This window comes from Homo sapiens, chromosome 4 (assembly GCF_000001405.40).
Source record: "Homo sapiens chromosome 4, GRCh38.p14 Primary Assembly".
NCBI classification, from domain to species: Eukaryota; Metazoa; Chordata; class Mammalia; order Primates; family Hominidae; genus Homo; species Homo sapiens.
In genome coordinates this window covers 92,815,873-92,832,197 of record NC_000004.12, presented here as the reverse complement: position 1 = coordinate 92,832,197, position 16,325 = coordinate 92,815,873, and the positions used below count along the sequence as shown (strand labels likewise).

Here is a 16,325-nt window from a genome sequence, read left to right as displayed (position 1 = left end):
AAAGTGCTGGGATTACAGGAGTGAGCCACCATGCCCGGTCTCATTTTTATTTACTAATCTTTCCTTTTTTTTATTTTCATAAGTTGATATTTGTATTCTCTTAATACCTTACTTATTTTATATATCTTTACATATAAAGCATATTAATAGAATTTGTGGCCAATATTACTAGTTATTACATCCTTTTTATACACTAATCATTGCTGAAACAGTCTTTTATGCACTGTATCATTAATCGTCAGAGCCATGTTAAGATGTAGGTAGCAGTTATGTTCTATTTACTTTCTTATTTTGGGGGGTTTATTTATATAGATGTATAATTTATTTATTTATATAGCAAGATGGGGTCTTGCTCTGTCTCCCAGTCTAGAGTATAGTGGCGTGATCTCAGCTCACTGCAGCCTCAACCTCCATGGCTTAAGTGATCCTCCTCTCTCAGCCTCTCAAGTAGCTAGGACTAACTAAGGCATGTACCACCACCCCCAGCTAACTTTACTTTAATTTTTTGTAGAGACAGCATCTCCTTACGTTGTCCAGGCTGTTCACAAATTCCAGTGCTCAAATGATCCTCCTGCCCCAGCTTCCCAAAGTACTGGGATTACAGGCATGAGCCACCATGCCTGGAATCATTTTATAGATAAGGAAAATAAGCTTTCTGCCAGTTAACTTGCTCAAAGCCATGCAGGTTTGAAAAAAAAAAAAAACGAAATTGGCATTTGAATCCAGGTTTCTCTGACTACAGAGTAAAAGTGTTTAACTTTATACTACAGCTGGATCTCCAATCATTTAGCTCACGTTTTTGTTGAGTTGTACATTACCTTTTTAATCTCATTGTCATTTGACATCTCTCAGACCAGCCATTTGTAATTAGGGGAGCAGCTCTTTGGTTTTCTGTGAAGCATACTCACTCATATTCTGAAAAGTCATTCACAATCCTTTGGTTCTTTGGTAAATTTCTGTTGCTTTCTTTCACAGTGATATAAAAGAATAGACATAAAATGATGATATTCATTTTACATGGTCTATTTTTTGTTACATGGAATGCAAGTTAAAATTCAGAGTGGGAAAAAATCCTAGAATCTTCTTATATAGTAACAATTTAAAAACTGGCTCTCTCCTTCCCCTAGTCCCTTCTGTTTCTCAATATCCCAAGGTATATCAGTTTAAATGTCAGGCAATATGGCATTGAAACTATTGTCCTTTCAGTGGCACTAGAAGATAATGACAGCTTAACCATTCTATCTCCTCCTGAGAAAGACATAGGCAGCCTTGAATGGCTGTCTGAGAGAAGGGTTAGATGACTGCTCTATGATATGTTCTGTAACTACACAATGAATTATTGCAATACCCAGATACTTAAATGGAATAGCTTTGTTTTCCTCTTAAAGTGATGAAGACTGTAGACCTAGGTAGAATAAGTATTTTTGCTTTAGTTTAAATAAGAGTGTAATAAAACCATAAAATTAGAAAGAAAACAACTTAAAAAATAAAACTATGAAGAATCTCTTAGTAAACTCAACAGAACTTATTTCTTGGCATCTGCCCATAGCAGTCTGTGCTGAGAACAGTTATTTAACTTATGACTCTTTAAAGATATTTTTAAATGAGAAATAAAAAATGTGTTTTGATAAAGTTGAATTATTAGTACTAAAATAATAATAATAGTATGCTTAAATAAGGAAAATTATTCATGATAAAATAAAAAATATCTAGAAGACAGTGAATGCCTTGGAACATAAAGCAAAGTGGTACCATAATGAATGATTAATGCCATAATGATGTTGGTATGTTGGTATGGTTTATGCACCACAAAACGTAGGCTTAGCTCAGTTCACTTTTTAGAGAACATAGAAATATTTTGAAGTAAGACATAAGGAGTCTTTCAGAATAAAAAAAAAAAAAACAATGTAAATCCCAGTTGTCCTACTTACTGCATGATCTTGGAGAAATAATTTATTGTTCTTAGCCTCAGTTCATTTTCTGTTCTTAAAATAACTGGACACTGTTTTGAGAATTATATTAGAAAATATGGGAGTGTTTATGAGTCCCAGGATTGCTTTAGGTGTTTCCTCAGTGCTAGTTTTGCTTTTTTTTTTTTCAATTTTATTTTAAGCGCTGGAATACATATGTAGAATGTTCAGATTTGTTGCATAGGTATATATGTGTCACGGTAGTTTGCTGTACCTATTAACCCATCTTCCAGCTTTTCAGCCCCACATGTATTAGGTATCTCTACTAATGCTCTCACTCCCCTTGTCCCCACCCCTGACAGGCCCTCGTGTGTGATGTTCCCCTCCTTGTGTCCATATGTTCTTATTGTTCAACTCCAACTTATCAGTGAGAACATGTGGCGTTTGGTTTTCCATTGCTGTGTTAGTTTGCTGAGAATGATGGTTTCCAGCTTCATCCATGTCCCTGCAAAGGACATGAACTCATTCTTTCTTATGCCTGCATAGTATTCCATGGTGTATATGTGCCACATTTTCTTTGTCCAGTCTATCATTGATGGGCATTTGGGTTGGTTCCAAGTCTTTGCAATTGTAAATAGTGCTGCAATAAACATATGTGTGCATATGTCTTTATAGAATGATTTATAATCCTTTGGGTATATACCCAATAATGGGATTGCTGGGTCAAATGGTATTTGGTTCTAGATCCTTGAGAAATTGCCATACTGCCTTCCACAATGGTTCAACTAATTTACACTCCCACCAACAGTGTAAAGGTGTTCCTATTTCTCAATAACCTCCCCAGCATCTGTTGTTTCCTGACTTTTAAATGATTGCCATTCTAACTGGCATGAGATGGTATCCTGTTGTGGTTTTGATTTGCATTTCTCCAATGACCAGTGATGATGACCTTTTTTGCATATGTGTGTTGGCCCAATAAATGTCTTCTGACAAAAACAAGCAATGACGAAAGGATTCCCTATTTAATAAATGGTGCTGGGAAAACTGGCTAGCCATATGCAGAAAACAGAAAACTGGATCCCTTCCTTACACCTTATACAAAAATTAACTCAAGATCGATTAAAGGCTTAAATGTAAAACCTAAAACTATAAAAACCCTAGAAGAAAACCTAGACAACACCATTCAGGACATAGGTATGGGCAAAGACTTCATGACTAAAACACCAAAAGCAATTGCAACAAAAGCCAAAATTGACAAATGGGATCTAATTAAACTAAAGAGCTTCTGCACAGCCAAAGAAACTATCATCAGAGTGAACAGGCAACCTACAGGATGGGAGAAAATTTTTGCAATCTATCCATCTGACAAAGGTCTAATATCCAGAAGCTACAAGGAACTTAAACAAATTTACAAGAAAAAAACAAACAACTCCATCAAAAAGTGGGTGAAGAATATGTACAGACACTTGTTTGCCTTCTTTTAGTTACTTATACCTGTTTCAACATGTACTAAAACAGAGCATAAAAAAAGCTAGCAAATTTTTGAAAAACAATGTTTTTCAGTGTTGATTAACATTACCAAAATCACACAAGAGAAAAAGAAAAAAATGTAAAACTTCATTAATTGAGTTAATTGGGGTGAGGAAGTTATCATCTGTAATTAGTTAAAAGTCAGAAATGTAGGGCATTTATAACCAAATATGAATTTATTTTCTTCAGGGCTATAAAGCAATATAAACCAATTATTAAACAATGTTGCCAAAGAATGATTCTGACAAATCTACCTTAATGAAGAGATAAGAAACACATAATTAGCACACTATTCTATACAAGTGCTCTAGTAGACTGCTTAGACCAAGTTGTTTTCTTAAATAAGTTAAGCAGTTTCATCTTAAGTCCCTACCTAATCCAATTAAAACTATTAATTTACTAATTCTATCAAAGGTAATTTTTGTCTATCTATCAAGTGCAAATCTATTCGCAGATTTCTACAATAAAGTCATTATGAATTCTGAATAAATTTAACTTAATAAACTTTGGTTGCCAGTGACTGGTAGAAGAGTCAAAGTGGACCTGGGAACTAAAATCAGTATAGTCCTATTTTGATTTTAGCAACTCAAATGTAATCGGCTTTGGTTTTATTTAGGAAACAATCCTTGACCAATATTACCAATTACTTGAGGAGTTGTAGGGGAATACAGTTTCTCAGACTTTTTAGTTGGAGATTGAAGTCAAGAAAGCCTAGCAGGAAGTTCCTGAAACTGAATCTGCAATAGGAATTCTTACATATCTATTAATCTGATCATTTGTGGAGATATATTTTGACATTCTCAACATTAACTATCAAGTTAACTATCAAAATTGGTTACTTAGCTATAGATTCATACCAAACAAATGACTTGACAGCATATTCCTGCAAGTTTAAAAAAGAAAGAAAACTGTCAGCAATATAACAAGCTCTATGTTAAATAATTTGAAACATAAAATAGCAAACTAGATTTATTTTAGCTAAAAGGAAAGTGCTTATATCCATCTCTTCATATATCATTCATTCATTAATTCATTTTTTTATTCGTTGAGCATTTACACTGCTTTGTACCCTCTTAAGGGCATCAGATGCAACAATTAAGTGTGAGTCACTGCCATGAAATGGCTTCTCTGAAATATTGGTGTCTTGGCTGGAGAAAAAAATCATATTTAAGATAATATGATTAAAAGCTACTTAGCATTTAAACAAAACCCAGTAGTGTGAAGATACTACCAGGATGGTAGAATATCGGGTCTTGACGGGGCTGGGAGGTGTTAAACACATAAATGTTTTAACAAATAAAGACAGAAGGGACATAGTAACAAAAATTGACTCCCTCCTTTTTTTTTTTTTTTTTAAATCTCAGGATCCCTTTACATTGCTAAAAAGTATTGAGTTTTCCAAAGAGTTTTTGTTTATGTGGATTATACCTGTTGATGTTTATTGCACCCAAAATTAACCTGATAATTTCCAATATATATGCTTTTTCATTCATTAAACGTTAATATAACTAACAAATATTTTTTGGATAAATATAAATGGTTTTAAATAAAATAGAATAGTTTAATTGCCTAACACTTGCAAATCCCTTGGTATTTGACTTAATAGAGGATAAGTGGATTCTTTTATCTGATTTTCTACTCAATTTGTTAAGAAACATGAATTGAAATATGAGGAAGGCCCAGCTTTATACAGGAATGTAACTGGAGGGGAGAAGTGTATTTCAATAGCCTTCCCATAAAATTTTGGATATTTTTGATGAAACATAAAAACTCCTATCTCAGTTAGAATATGGAACCTGAAACATATCAATGAACTCTTCTCAATGAACTGATAGTATCCCAAGGCCACACCATGAGAACACTTGGATATAAAGGAAATAACATTAGATCAATCAAACCAATTACCAGTCTATAAAATCAGATTGCCTAAGTCTTTCTAATTGTTATATGAAAAACTCATGTTGTAATACTTGACATTTTAAATCAGCTGATTTGCAAATCAATATAAGGTTTTGTACAAAAGTACTAAATTAATTTAAATATGTTGGTTATCTTATACAGATAATTATAAATTGTCACATTCAAAGCTAGAATAATGTAATGCAAGTAGTCTAGTAAGCTTAACTGCTATGATTCATGCATTTGACAAATATCTATCAAGAGCCTTCTGAGTCCTAGGTACTATTATGGATACTGGACATGCAGTATGGAACAAAACTGGCAAAAATCACTTCTTTTTGGAACTTACACTCCAGTGGGAATAACAGACCACAAATGAGATAATTAATTAAAAACTGAAACATGTTATACAGAAGTACTATGGACAAATATAGAGCAGGAAGGAAGATAGAAAATATGGTGTGTTAGGGATTGCTGGTTGGAACGTCATTAGATGGTGCATCCAGGAAAAGCCTCAATGAGAGAGGAAGATTAATGTAAAGAGCAAAAGAGTCTTAGGAATCAATCCATGAAGCTATCAGGGAAGAGTTTTCAAGGCAGAGGATAGCAAGTGCAAAGACCCTAAGTTGGATGCATACCTTGTCTGTTTAAATAAAATGGACAAAGAGAAATAAGTAGGAATGAGTTCAGAGAAGGTAGGAGGAAAGGAGGAGACAGAGCAAGGGCAGATTACATAGGATTTCTAGCTCTGAAAAAGGACTTTGGCATTTACTCTGAATGAAAGAGAAAACTACTGAGAATTTTGAGCAGAAGGGTGACAAGATGCCACTTGTGTTTTAACAGGATCACTCTGGCTGCTGTACTGAGTACTCACTGAAGGAGTGCCAAGTTGGAACACTCAGGATACTTTCAGCTACAAGTAGCAATATATCAAACCAAAAGTGGCTTAAGCAGTTAGGACATTTAATATTTCTCCTAACATGGGCTCCAGAAAATGAATTAAGTAGTTCCCCAGTGTTGCTAAGAACATGAAGGCTGTTTCCTTTTTTGCTGATGGCACAATGTCCAGGTGTCTATTGAACATTCCTTCAGGCCTGCATATGGGCTGCCTTGGCTCCTTGCATTACATGCTATTTTGACAACATGGTTTCTGTTGGGGGCGGAGGTGGCTCTCATTTATATGGGAATAATATGCAACCTAGCTTACTAAAATATCCACCTTTAAATACCCATATGTGAATGGGAACAGTATGACCAAGACTGGTTTTAGCCTTGCTATGTGTCATGTCACATAGCAAATAATGATAGAGGTATGAGATGTTAGAGCAAACAGACAAGACTGCAGAAGCCTGGAGGTGTTCTGTTTATGGCATTTGGCCATGTTAAGACTCACTTCGCTGTCATGACAGCTGAAGAATCAATGTCTCAGCATGTTTGTAACCCTCCTCGGTGCCATAGCACAACTGATAAGCAGAGCTGCTGCTTATGTTCATGTAACTTGGTACCTGGCCAAGAGTTTTAGTAGGGGCTGAAGTTCAGTCTGGATTCTTCTCAACAGACTGCGAGCCCCAATGGAAGGTGAATTTTTTTCTGTTCATCATCCTTGAGTTCATAGGATGATTTTTTATTGTAATTTGCGCAAAGGTTCTCTTTAGGCTAGTTGTACCCTGGTTTACTACTGGTTTTTCATCCCTGGGCATAATACATGAACTAAATCAGAAGAAGAGGTGGACGATTGTTTGCAAAGTATCTAAGTGTCTGTCATGGAAATATTTCTTAAATGGGCAGATATATGTTAGTACTTTTAAAAAAAATTTTATGTATTTTTAATTATACTTTAAGTTCTGGGATACATGTTAATACCTTTTTTTTAAGAAATTTGTGGATATGAAAAATAAATTGTGGATTATAAACTTTCATATATTTATCTGGTTATCATGTCATTATTGCTATAGCATCAATGTGTTTAATAGTTTTTCTAACAACCTATTTTGATTATTTTATTAATTACAAAGGAGCACTTCATGGGTTTTCCTAAAAAACAATATCTAAAGGTAAAGTTTAATGTTTATAGAGGCAATTTAAAGTTAATTTCTTAGTCAATCCAAATTCTTAATATTATTTATACAGTAGTTTATGAGTAGACATATCAGCAATTAACATAAACTAAAAGAGTAAACTTGTTACACATAAATGCAAGGGGAATGGACTGATAAGAGACAAAGGCAGAGCTTTGAGGTGGGTCTGATAATTATAATTTTCTTTAGTTTTTTAAAAGAGCAATTAATGGCTTTCAACTGTTATTAAATTTTGAAATAAATAATAAAAGTTTATTTTCAGAAACATATGTTAATAATTAATTTATTCTTTTGAGAATATAAAACCCTAGCCATGAAACTAGCACCCAAGACAGAAGTATTTTCTTAGCAAAAAAGGGTGTCACAGGTAGCAGGGAATAGCTGGCAAAAACTGCTAGAAACAAACAAACAAAAGAAATGGGGAAAAAAATCATAGCTACTACACAGCAGAGACTTAAACATTTGGAGATAATAAAAAGATCATATATTTTTCAAATACACAAGTAATGATAAATTTTAATAACCTCCAACAAATATAAGAACCTAATGATATTTTATGGATTCTATTTATAAAGGAAGAGAACCTCAGCCTAAGCAGGCAAAAATGCCTTTATCTACGTCTTTCTTAGCCTACAGGTCAAACTCCTAACATTCCTGTTCACCTGGCCTAACCTTCATTATCTAGCTCAGACATTTCAGAGATGTTTCACTTCATCCTATCTCCCCTGAACTACCAGCCAGATTGAAGGTCCCTTTGTATTAGATATTATCCATAATATTAGTTATTAGGCAACCCCATAGACACCATCCCTGTTCCTACTACCACCAGTCCCTATTCTAAATTTCATTGTCAACACTGGAAGGAATTACTGATGGGATTCAGAGTATTCTGGAGTCATCACAAACAGTTCGACCTGTCAGGCACTGGGGTGGACAATGCACACTCCTAGGAAAATAGTCACATCCTTCTTTTATTTTGTGGCCATTTTTGTATCCATGGTAAGATAAATAAACAAAAGGGCTTAGAAGGAATTTCAGAGTTTATCAGATTAGCACCTCTTTACCAAACAACTAATTTATCTTATTACTGACACACTAAAATTAATCATAACTTAAGGAAGATGTAAGATTTTTTTTATTGTGCAATGATCTAGATACATTTTTAATCTAGAACTTTTCAGTGATTGTTTCTAATAAATATAAATACTATTCAGTTGACAAGAAGATGGATTGGAGTTTTCTAGTCAAACAGACCCGTGTTGCCATCCAGGTTCCAACCTTTCTATCTGTGTGACTATAGACAGCATAATTTGCTTCCCTGAGCTGATTTCTCTCATGTCACCTATTACGGATTCAATAAGTTATTAATGTCCTTTAACAAATTTAGCAAATATCAATAGATCAATCTTGTACAGGGTGCTAGGGATTGGCAGCAAATAAGAGATAAGCTCTGTATATTTTAAATATAAAAGGCTGCTTTTTTCATTACTTATATATTGTCAAAAATTCTGCCATGAAATGTTCATAGTTCCTAATTTTAATCCTTGTACCAATTGGCAATAGACAACTTCTTTTCTCCATATATATGTGACTCATAAAGGGCAAAGGGCAAACAATTCAACCAGCTCCAAGATACTTTTGTACATAATTACCTTCTCCAATATTGCCCTTCACATAGACTCTAAATTAGTGAAACTATTCCATCCTATGCCTATATTTTGTATTTTTCATGTATTAAAATTTCCCTGCTTGGCTTACTTTTTTGTGGCAGGGCTGTGGCAGGACTGGCTGTGGTGTTTGTCCCTCTGGTCTCTCTGAGTGGCATCCTCGTTGCTGCAGTGACACCTGACCTCACCACCACCATGACAGAGCAGAAGACCCTTTGTGACACTCTTGAAGGCCACAATACCTGAGTAACCAGATCGCTACTGCCCTGGACATGATACAGTCCACCTCTTGAGACAAAATCATCATCATGTGGACATTGAACAGGGACGAAACCAACTATGGCATCCCACAGCATGCCCTGGAGGGTCATTTCCACTTTGTCTATGACAAAATCATCTCTTCAGGTGGCCACTTTTTCCTCTCAGCCTCCTGAGATGGAAACCTGTGCTTCTGGGATCTGACAAAGGGCACCACTATGAGATGATCTGTAGGCCATACCAAGGACGTGTTGAGTGTGGCCTTCTCCATTGACAACCTGTAGATTGTCTCTAGATCCTGAGATAAAACCGTCTAGTTATGGTTATAACCCTGAGTATATACAAATACACTGTCCAGGTGGAGAGCCACTCAGAGTAGGTGTCTTATGTCCACTTCTCACCTAACGGCAGCAACACTATCACCTCTGTAGCTGGGACAAGCTGGTCAAGGTACGGAATCTGGCTAACTGCAAGCTGAAGATGAACCACTTTGGCCACACAGTCCATCTGAACACTGTGACTGTCTCTCCAGATGGATCCCTCTGTGCTTCTGGAGGCAATGCTGGCCATGCCATGCCATGCCATGCGATCTCAACAAAGGCAAGCACCTTGATATGCTATGTGGTGGGAATATCATCAATGCCCTGTGCTTTAGCCTCAACTGCTACTGGTTCTGCGCTACCACAGGCCTCAGCATCAAGATCTGGGACTTAGAAGGCAAGACCACCATAGAAATTAAGCAAGAAGTTATCGGAATCTGCAGCAAGGCAGAGACTCCCCATTGCACCTCTCTGGTCTGCTGATGGCCAGACTGCTGGCTACATAGACAATCTGGTGCAAGTGTGGCAGGTGGCCATCAGCACCTGCTAGATATTTATGGCAGAACTTTAGGTTTCTTTCAACTGACTTTCTGATTTAAAACAAAAAATCTTCCTACTTTAATCATTATTAACTTCCCCAGCAGTGAAACATAAAGAGATGGGGAGAAAGTATTTAAGTGGCTGTTCATATTATGAAACACAGTTTTTGCTTGAGTTGCCGGACTGCTTAGCTTGAGGACAAGTTGGAAATGGAAAAAGGAATCACTGCCTTTTGGTCTTGCTATGTGTGTTTTATTATGATTGAGAGAATATTACTTAAAATAGCTTTTATGGTGCCTTATTGAGGGGGTGGGCTATATGCAGGCAGATTCCAACACAATTTGTAAGTTGATCACAGTAGAATGATCTGGTTTTCTTGTATTACATTAATGAATGTGGAATGCTTGTAGAATCAAAAATATTATTTTAAATTTCTGTTTATGTAACTCCAGGGTATTAACTGAAATCAAGATCAATTACCTAGTAATATGGTCAAATTTAAATCTTAAACACTTTTGAGAAACTTAAAAAAAACAAACAGCTACAAAAATACTGTAACAAATTCTTACATAGAATCCATGATTATCAATAGAAACATTTCATCATTTTAACTTTATCTATGAAATAAATTAAGCATGACAGATAAGGTTGTCAACCATTTTGTTCTCTCTTCTAATCCCATTCCCTCATTGCCAGAGGCGCTGACCATCCTAATTTTGGTGTGCTTCTTAATGTCGCATTTTGCTCCACATATTTTTGTATTGGAATTATTTACAAGAAGCACTCATTACTTTAGAAATAAACACAATTTTATGAAATATCTGGCCTAAATTATGTTGAATTAAGCCAGTTAAACATATCAATTCAAAATATCTACTTTTGGAGTATACCTAAATTTCAAATTGGCTATATATATGGTTATTTAAATGTATCAATTTCTTTATCACTGTGTTAAGTAAAAATCACAATATTTATGCATACTTCCATGTATAAGTTGTTTATAATTAGCTGTTTTATCTTAAGTATATATATTAGAGAAGATGATTATAGTATTGCTTCTAGGTTATTTTGTTAATTTGAAAATCAGATTAGATTTTTAGACATCTAATTTGATATTATACAGATACAAGAGAATAGGAATTTTGTACAATTTAAGATTATTAATTATAACATGATAATTTTAATAGATATTGATTTCAGTAAAAATTGAACCTGAAATTAATAGAATGTTGAAGATACTTGTATATACATCACTGTTGCCTGAAATATCAACCGTAGTACAAAAAATGCATTCTAAATAGAACTGAAGAAGTTTATCTGCTGAAACGAGACTGCAGAAGACATTATGCCACCCGCTATTTCCAGGGTATTTATAGGATTCTGACATTCTCTAAGCTAAACACTTTCTATAAAGTTCATTGCAGCCAAGACTACTCACTTCTAGTAAGTACCATAAGCAAACCAGAGGTTGCATAGTGCTGTTTTCTTTCTTTGTTTTCATTTGCTGCTAACAGTGTTTTGAGTCATTCTGACTTTGGTAGAGTTAACTCTGCCTGTTTGATATTTTGAGAATTTTTAGGTTTCTGCTATCTTAACTGTTTCTCTGACTTTCAGCTTAAATCTAAAGGCATTAGAGTGCCCTTTAGAATCCCTAAGATCTACTCACATCGAGTTCACAGCATTGCACTGGTCCTTTTGCCTACATATTAATTCTTAGTTTCTAGACTTTCAACATATTCCAAATAAGTATGTGTGTCATAAAAGAAGCATTACATTCAAAGTTAGAAGGGAAGGATTCTTGTCATAGCCCTCTCCCCTAAAAACCAATAAACTTTATAAAACTCATTAATTCCCATGTCTCAGGGCTGTGGGCAGAACCAAATGAGAAGTGAATGTGAAAGTCTTTAATATGCAAAGCAGAGTATCTTATGTTGTCATTTGTCAGTTCTAGATTGTTTCAAGACAGTGTCTTTCAAAAATGAGATTGTAAATGGTACTACGCAATTGGTAGTTAACTCATCGAAATTCTATTCATCTGAAAAATATCTGATGCTTAGTAAAAGAAAGCACATTATAATTCTCACTATTATTCATATATTATCAAAACAAGACAGACTTTTATCATTTCTCTTCATTATGGAGTACTAATAATTTATAAGCTTATTGCAATTAAAACTGCTTAATACCAAAGATTACTTAACTGCAAACAAGATATGAAAAGAAAAAAAATATTTTAAGCATCTGAGCAAAAAATATATCTCTAATTTGTTTTTGTCACCTATGCTGTCGTAGTAATATCCTTTCCTGCAGTTGGTAGTCAAATATTTCCACAACATAGTCCTATTATCATTTTTCAAATTTATTTTTTTTAAATAGTAAGAATGACCATTAATTAAACTGACTCCAAATACTAAGTATTTTACATGCTTTAGTTTATCCCCATCTTACAGGAAAATAGAGATTTCAAGAAGTTTAGTAACTAGCCCAAGATCACATAGTTACTGAGTGAGGCTGTTTGGGTTTTATCCTGCCCATGTGATTCTAATATTCCTTTTTAAACCCTATTCACTCTTCATGCCGCCCCCATACATGTGCCCTTCATTTTAGTCCAGTGGTTCTCAGTACTGGCTGCACATTGGAATCACTCAGGAGCTTAAAAACTTCTGATGCCAGGACCCCTCTCTCAGCAATTGGGGTTGAATTTGTCTGTGGTGGAGATTTGTGATGATGTCTGAGCCTAAGTTTTAAAACCTCCCATGGGTGATTGTGATGTATAAACAGCACTGAGAATCTCAGATTTGGCCAAAATTATCCACTTTCTAGATAATTCTTTGAATGATACTATGCTTTCCTATTGCCGTAACATTTGCTCATGCTCATGCTCATGCTGGGAGTAAAGTTGCCTAGTTTATAAAACAAGGGCTTTGGTGTAGGACAGAAATAAATAGTTCTGATTCAGTGCCCATTACTAACCTATCACAGCATTCAGGTATATACAGTGAGAATGAAGCTCTTGCAACATAAGCTTCTTCATAAATATTTAAAAATGAGAAAAATTATATGCTATAGAATTATTGTGAAGGGTATATCAAGCAGATAAATTACAGATACAATTATATAATTTGGGCTTCAAGATATTATTCATGTAGAAAACATGCTTCAAGTAAGTATTGCAAAAGGGTAGTTGTCCATAGGCAGAAATTCATTGAGTATATTCATATGTGTCTGATATAAACTTCATGTTTGCCTCACACACCCAGAAGAGACATGAAGTATGAAAGAGCACTTCCAGAGGGGCTGCTCTGGGTGAGGTAAGAGATTTCAATGGTATAGCGACTCATCAAGTTAATATAAGAAAGGTTCTTCTGACTTCCTCATATATTTGCCACTTGCCCATTTACTTAAAACTAAATTGAACAGCTAATAAGTTTGCGAGCAAGATCATTTCCAAGCAATACACCAAATCAGACTGTTAACTGTCCATTAGTATAGGCAAAATAGCTCTTATTAAGTTGGGCCTTCGTTGGTAATGCCTTTTCTCATTCTACCTCCACCTGTCAAAATTCTCCATCATTATCTTTCAACACCCATCTCAAATGCCATTTTTCTTTTTTAATGTTTCCTGAATACAAAGATAATAGCTAATGACACTTTTAGTCTCTCTTGTATGGGTGAAGTTGAATACAAAAAAAAGAAGGAATCTGTATTATTCATTCATTCATTCAAATGTAATTTATTGAGAAATATACACTGGGCAAGAGGTTATGATTTTTAAAATACTGTTATTCTGCTTATCAGTTTATAATTAAGTGGGAATAACAGACATAAAGTTCACAGTTGAAGTTTAGTGTGACACCTGAGATAATGTGACACCTGAGATAACAGAAACAGTTGTGGATATAGTGATAACATAAAAGACAACATGATCATCAATATCTCATATGTAGATGTGTCACAAAAGGTTTCACACACATGAATATGATTGAGGTCAGTTTTGCAGCATCTTTTGGATAACATAGTTTTTAGCGGCAAACATAGCATTGGCCTGACTCTACCACTTATAATTCTGTAAACTTGGACATGAAATAAAACTCCTCTGTATCTGTTTCCTCACTAAATTGCCATAGAACTTACATTAAATAATATGTGTAAAAAAATTGGCAAGGCTGGACGCAAGGGCTCACACCTATAATCTCAACACTTTGAGAGGCCAAGGGAGAGGATCACTTGGGCCAAGGAGTTTGAGACTAGCATGGGCAATATAGTGAGACACCATCTCTCCAAAAAAAAAAAGCCAAATATCTAACAACATAAGGCAAGAAGCCATCAACAAATCCCAGTAGTTTTGATACAAATCAATTAAACATTATTATAATGGCATTCCAGATAAAATATAAGATTTGAAAAAATAAGGAAGCATAAAAACAATCTCAAGGAATTGTCAGCAATTCTCATAAAATTAAGCATTAGATATTTATGAGGAGATATGGCCTTATGAGAGATATGGCTAGACAGGTAGGTTAAGACTAGAACTTAAAGGTTTTGGTAAGGTCATCCTATGGATAAAGTAATGTCATCTAGGATAAGTACAAACTTTATCCTGAAGAAAATAGGAGTAAGGTGTATGGAGAGAATGGTATTAAAAGTTTTGTAGAGAGGAATAATATGATCCAATTATAATTTTTTAAACCCACAGCAATGTAGCTGATAAAAGCGGGGATAAAATGCAGTGAAAAACTAAATGAATTAAGCCAAATAAGAAAAAAATATATAGAATTGCTGGTATTTACAGTTAAAGAAAATTTTAAGGGTGAATATGAGGAAGGAAACATACTAAATTGAATTTTAAAAGACAGATTGAACATGACTTAGTGGCCAGCTGGATGTGAATGTGAGTAGTGTAGGGTTAATGGTGACTCCTGGGTCCCTGAATTGTGTAACTAGGTGAAGGTCATTGAAGGTTTTAACCATCCAAGATGGTTAAAACATGGGACTAGATTTTAAAGATAGTAGATGAAGTTCTAAGTTACATGAAGGGCAGCTAGGTAGTTATGTACAAAGTAAACCTTAGAAGAGAGAGAAGAATTGCAGATACATGCACACTATATCCCTGTTTTTAAATTTAACAGTTTTTATTTATTGTAAAGTTATTTCTCCTCAATTTTCAATACAGCAGAGCTTTGTAAGTTGTTAATGAGTTTAATCTTTTACTAAATCCACAAAAACTCTTTCATAAACTAGTACTATTAGAATCCCCATTTTCCAGAAGAGTTATGTAAACTTTAAACAGTGAATGAAAAGGTAGAATTTGAATCTAGACCACATGAATCAAATGCCAGAACTCTTTTAGTAGCAAATATTTACGCATCATTTCTTAGAAAATACTTAAGATATTTGTAATTTTTGTAATTTTAGCATATTTAACCTTCATTTGCAAACACTCCTCCCTTCTCCTTGTGGAAACCTTTACCAAACTCTGACATTTATTTTGCCTGGCTATATAACAGACAATCAGTATACATAAACCTGAAAACAAGGAAACATGCATTAATGTATGAGCAATAATAAGGTTTTAATGTGAATAAATTTGAAGACAAATGGGTTAAAGTACATTCGGCATAAATGGGTTAAGGTACATCTTTAGTAAAATGTACTTTTTTTTTTTTTTTTTTTTTTTGGTGAGACAGAGATTTACTCTTGTTGCCCAGACTGGAGTGCAATGGTGCGATTTCAGCTCACCACATACTCCGCCTCCCAGGTTCAAGTGATTCTCCTGCCTCAGCCTCCCGAGTAGCTGGGATTGCACGCATGTGCCACCACACCCGGCTAATTTTGTATTTTTGGTAGAGATGGGGTTTCACCATGTTGCCTAGGCTGATCTCGAACTCCGGACCTCAGGTGATCCACCTGCCTTGGCCTCCCAAAGTGCTGGGATTACAGGCATGAGCCACCATGCTTGGCCAGTAAAATGTACTTTTAAAAACAATATTGCTCTTTTGTTTGTGAGGGGTTTTTTTTTTGGTTGGTTTTTTTTTGGCTTTTTGTTTTTTTCTTTCCTTTTTTTTTTTTTTTTTTTTTTTTGAGACAGGGTCATGCACTGTCACCTTGGCTGGAGTACAGTGA

At 34.8% G+C, this 16,325-nt stretch overlaps 1 protein-coding gene and 1 pseudogene across 11 annotated transcripts in view; one reads left to right on the top strand and one right to left on the bottom strand.

Annotated features, from left to right (window-relative positions):
- The window catches only part of GRID2 (glutamate ionotropic receptor delta type subunit 2), a 1,506,491-nt gene that overhangs the window by 978,259 nt on the left and 511,907 nt on the right, over window positions 1–16,325 (bottom strand). For 6 of the 11 annotated variants that reach the window (XM_017008120.3, XM_047450132.1, XM_011531893.3 and 3 more), the window contains exon 1: window positions 9,176–15,866. The exons of the other annotated variants lie outside the window; for them this stretch is intronic. In XM_017008120.3, the coding sequence (XP_016863609.1) occupies window positions 9,176–9,455 (280 nt within the window). In that variant the 5' untranslated portion in view covers window positions 9,456–15,866. Of the gene's footprint in view, window positions 1–9,175; window positions 15,867–16,325 lie in introns of those variants that run through there. 11 annotated transcript variants of the gene reach the window in all.
- RACK1P3 (RACK1 pseudogene 3) lies at window positions 9,185–10,232 on the top strand (annotated as a pseudogene).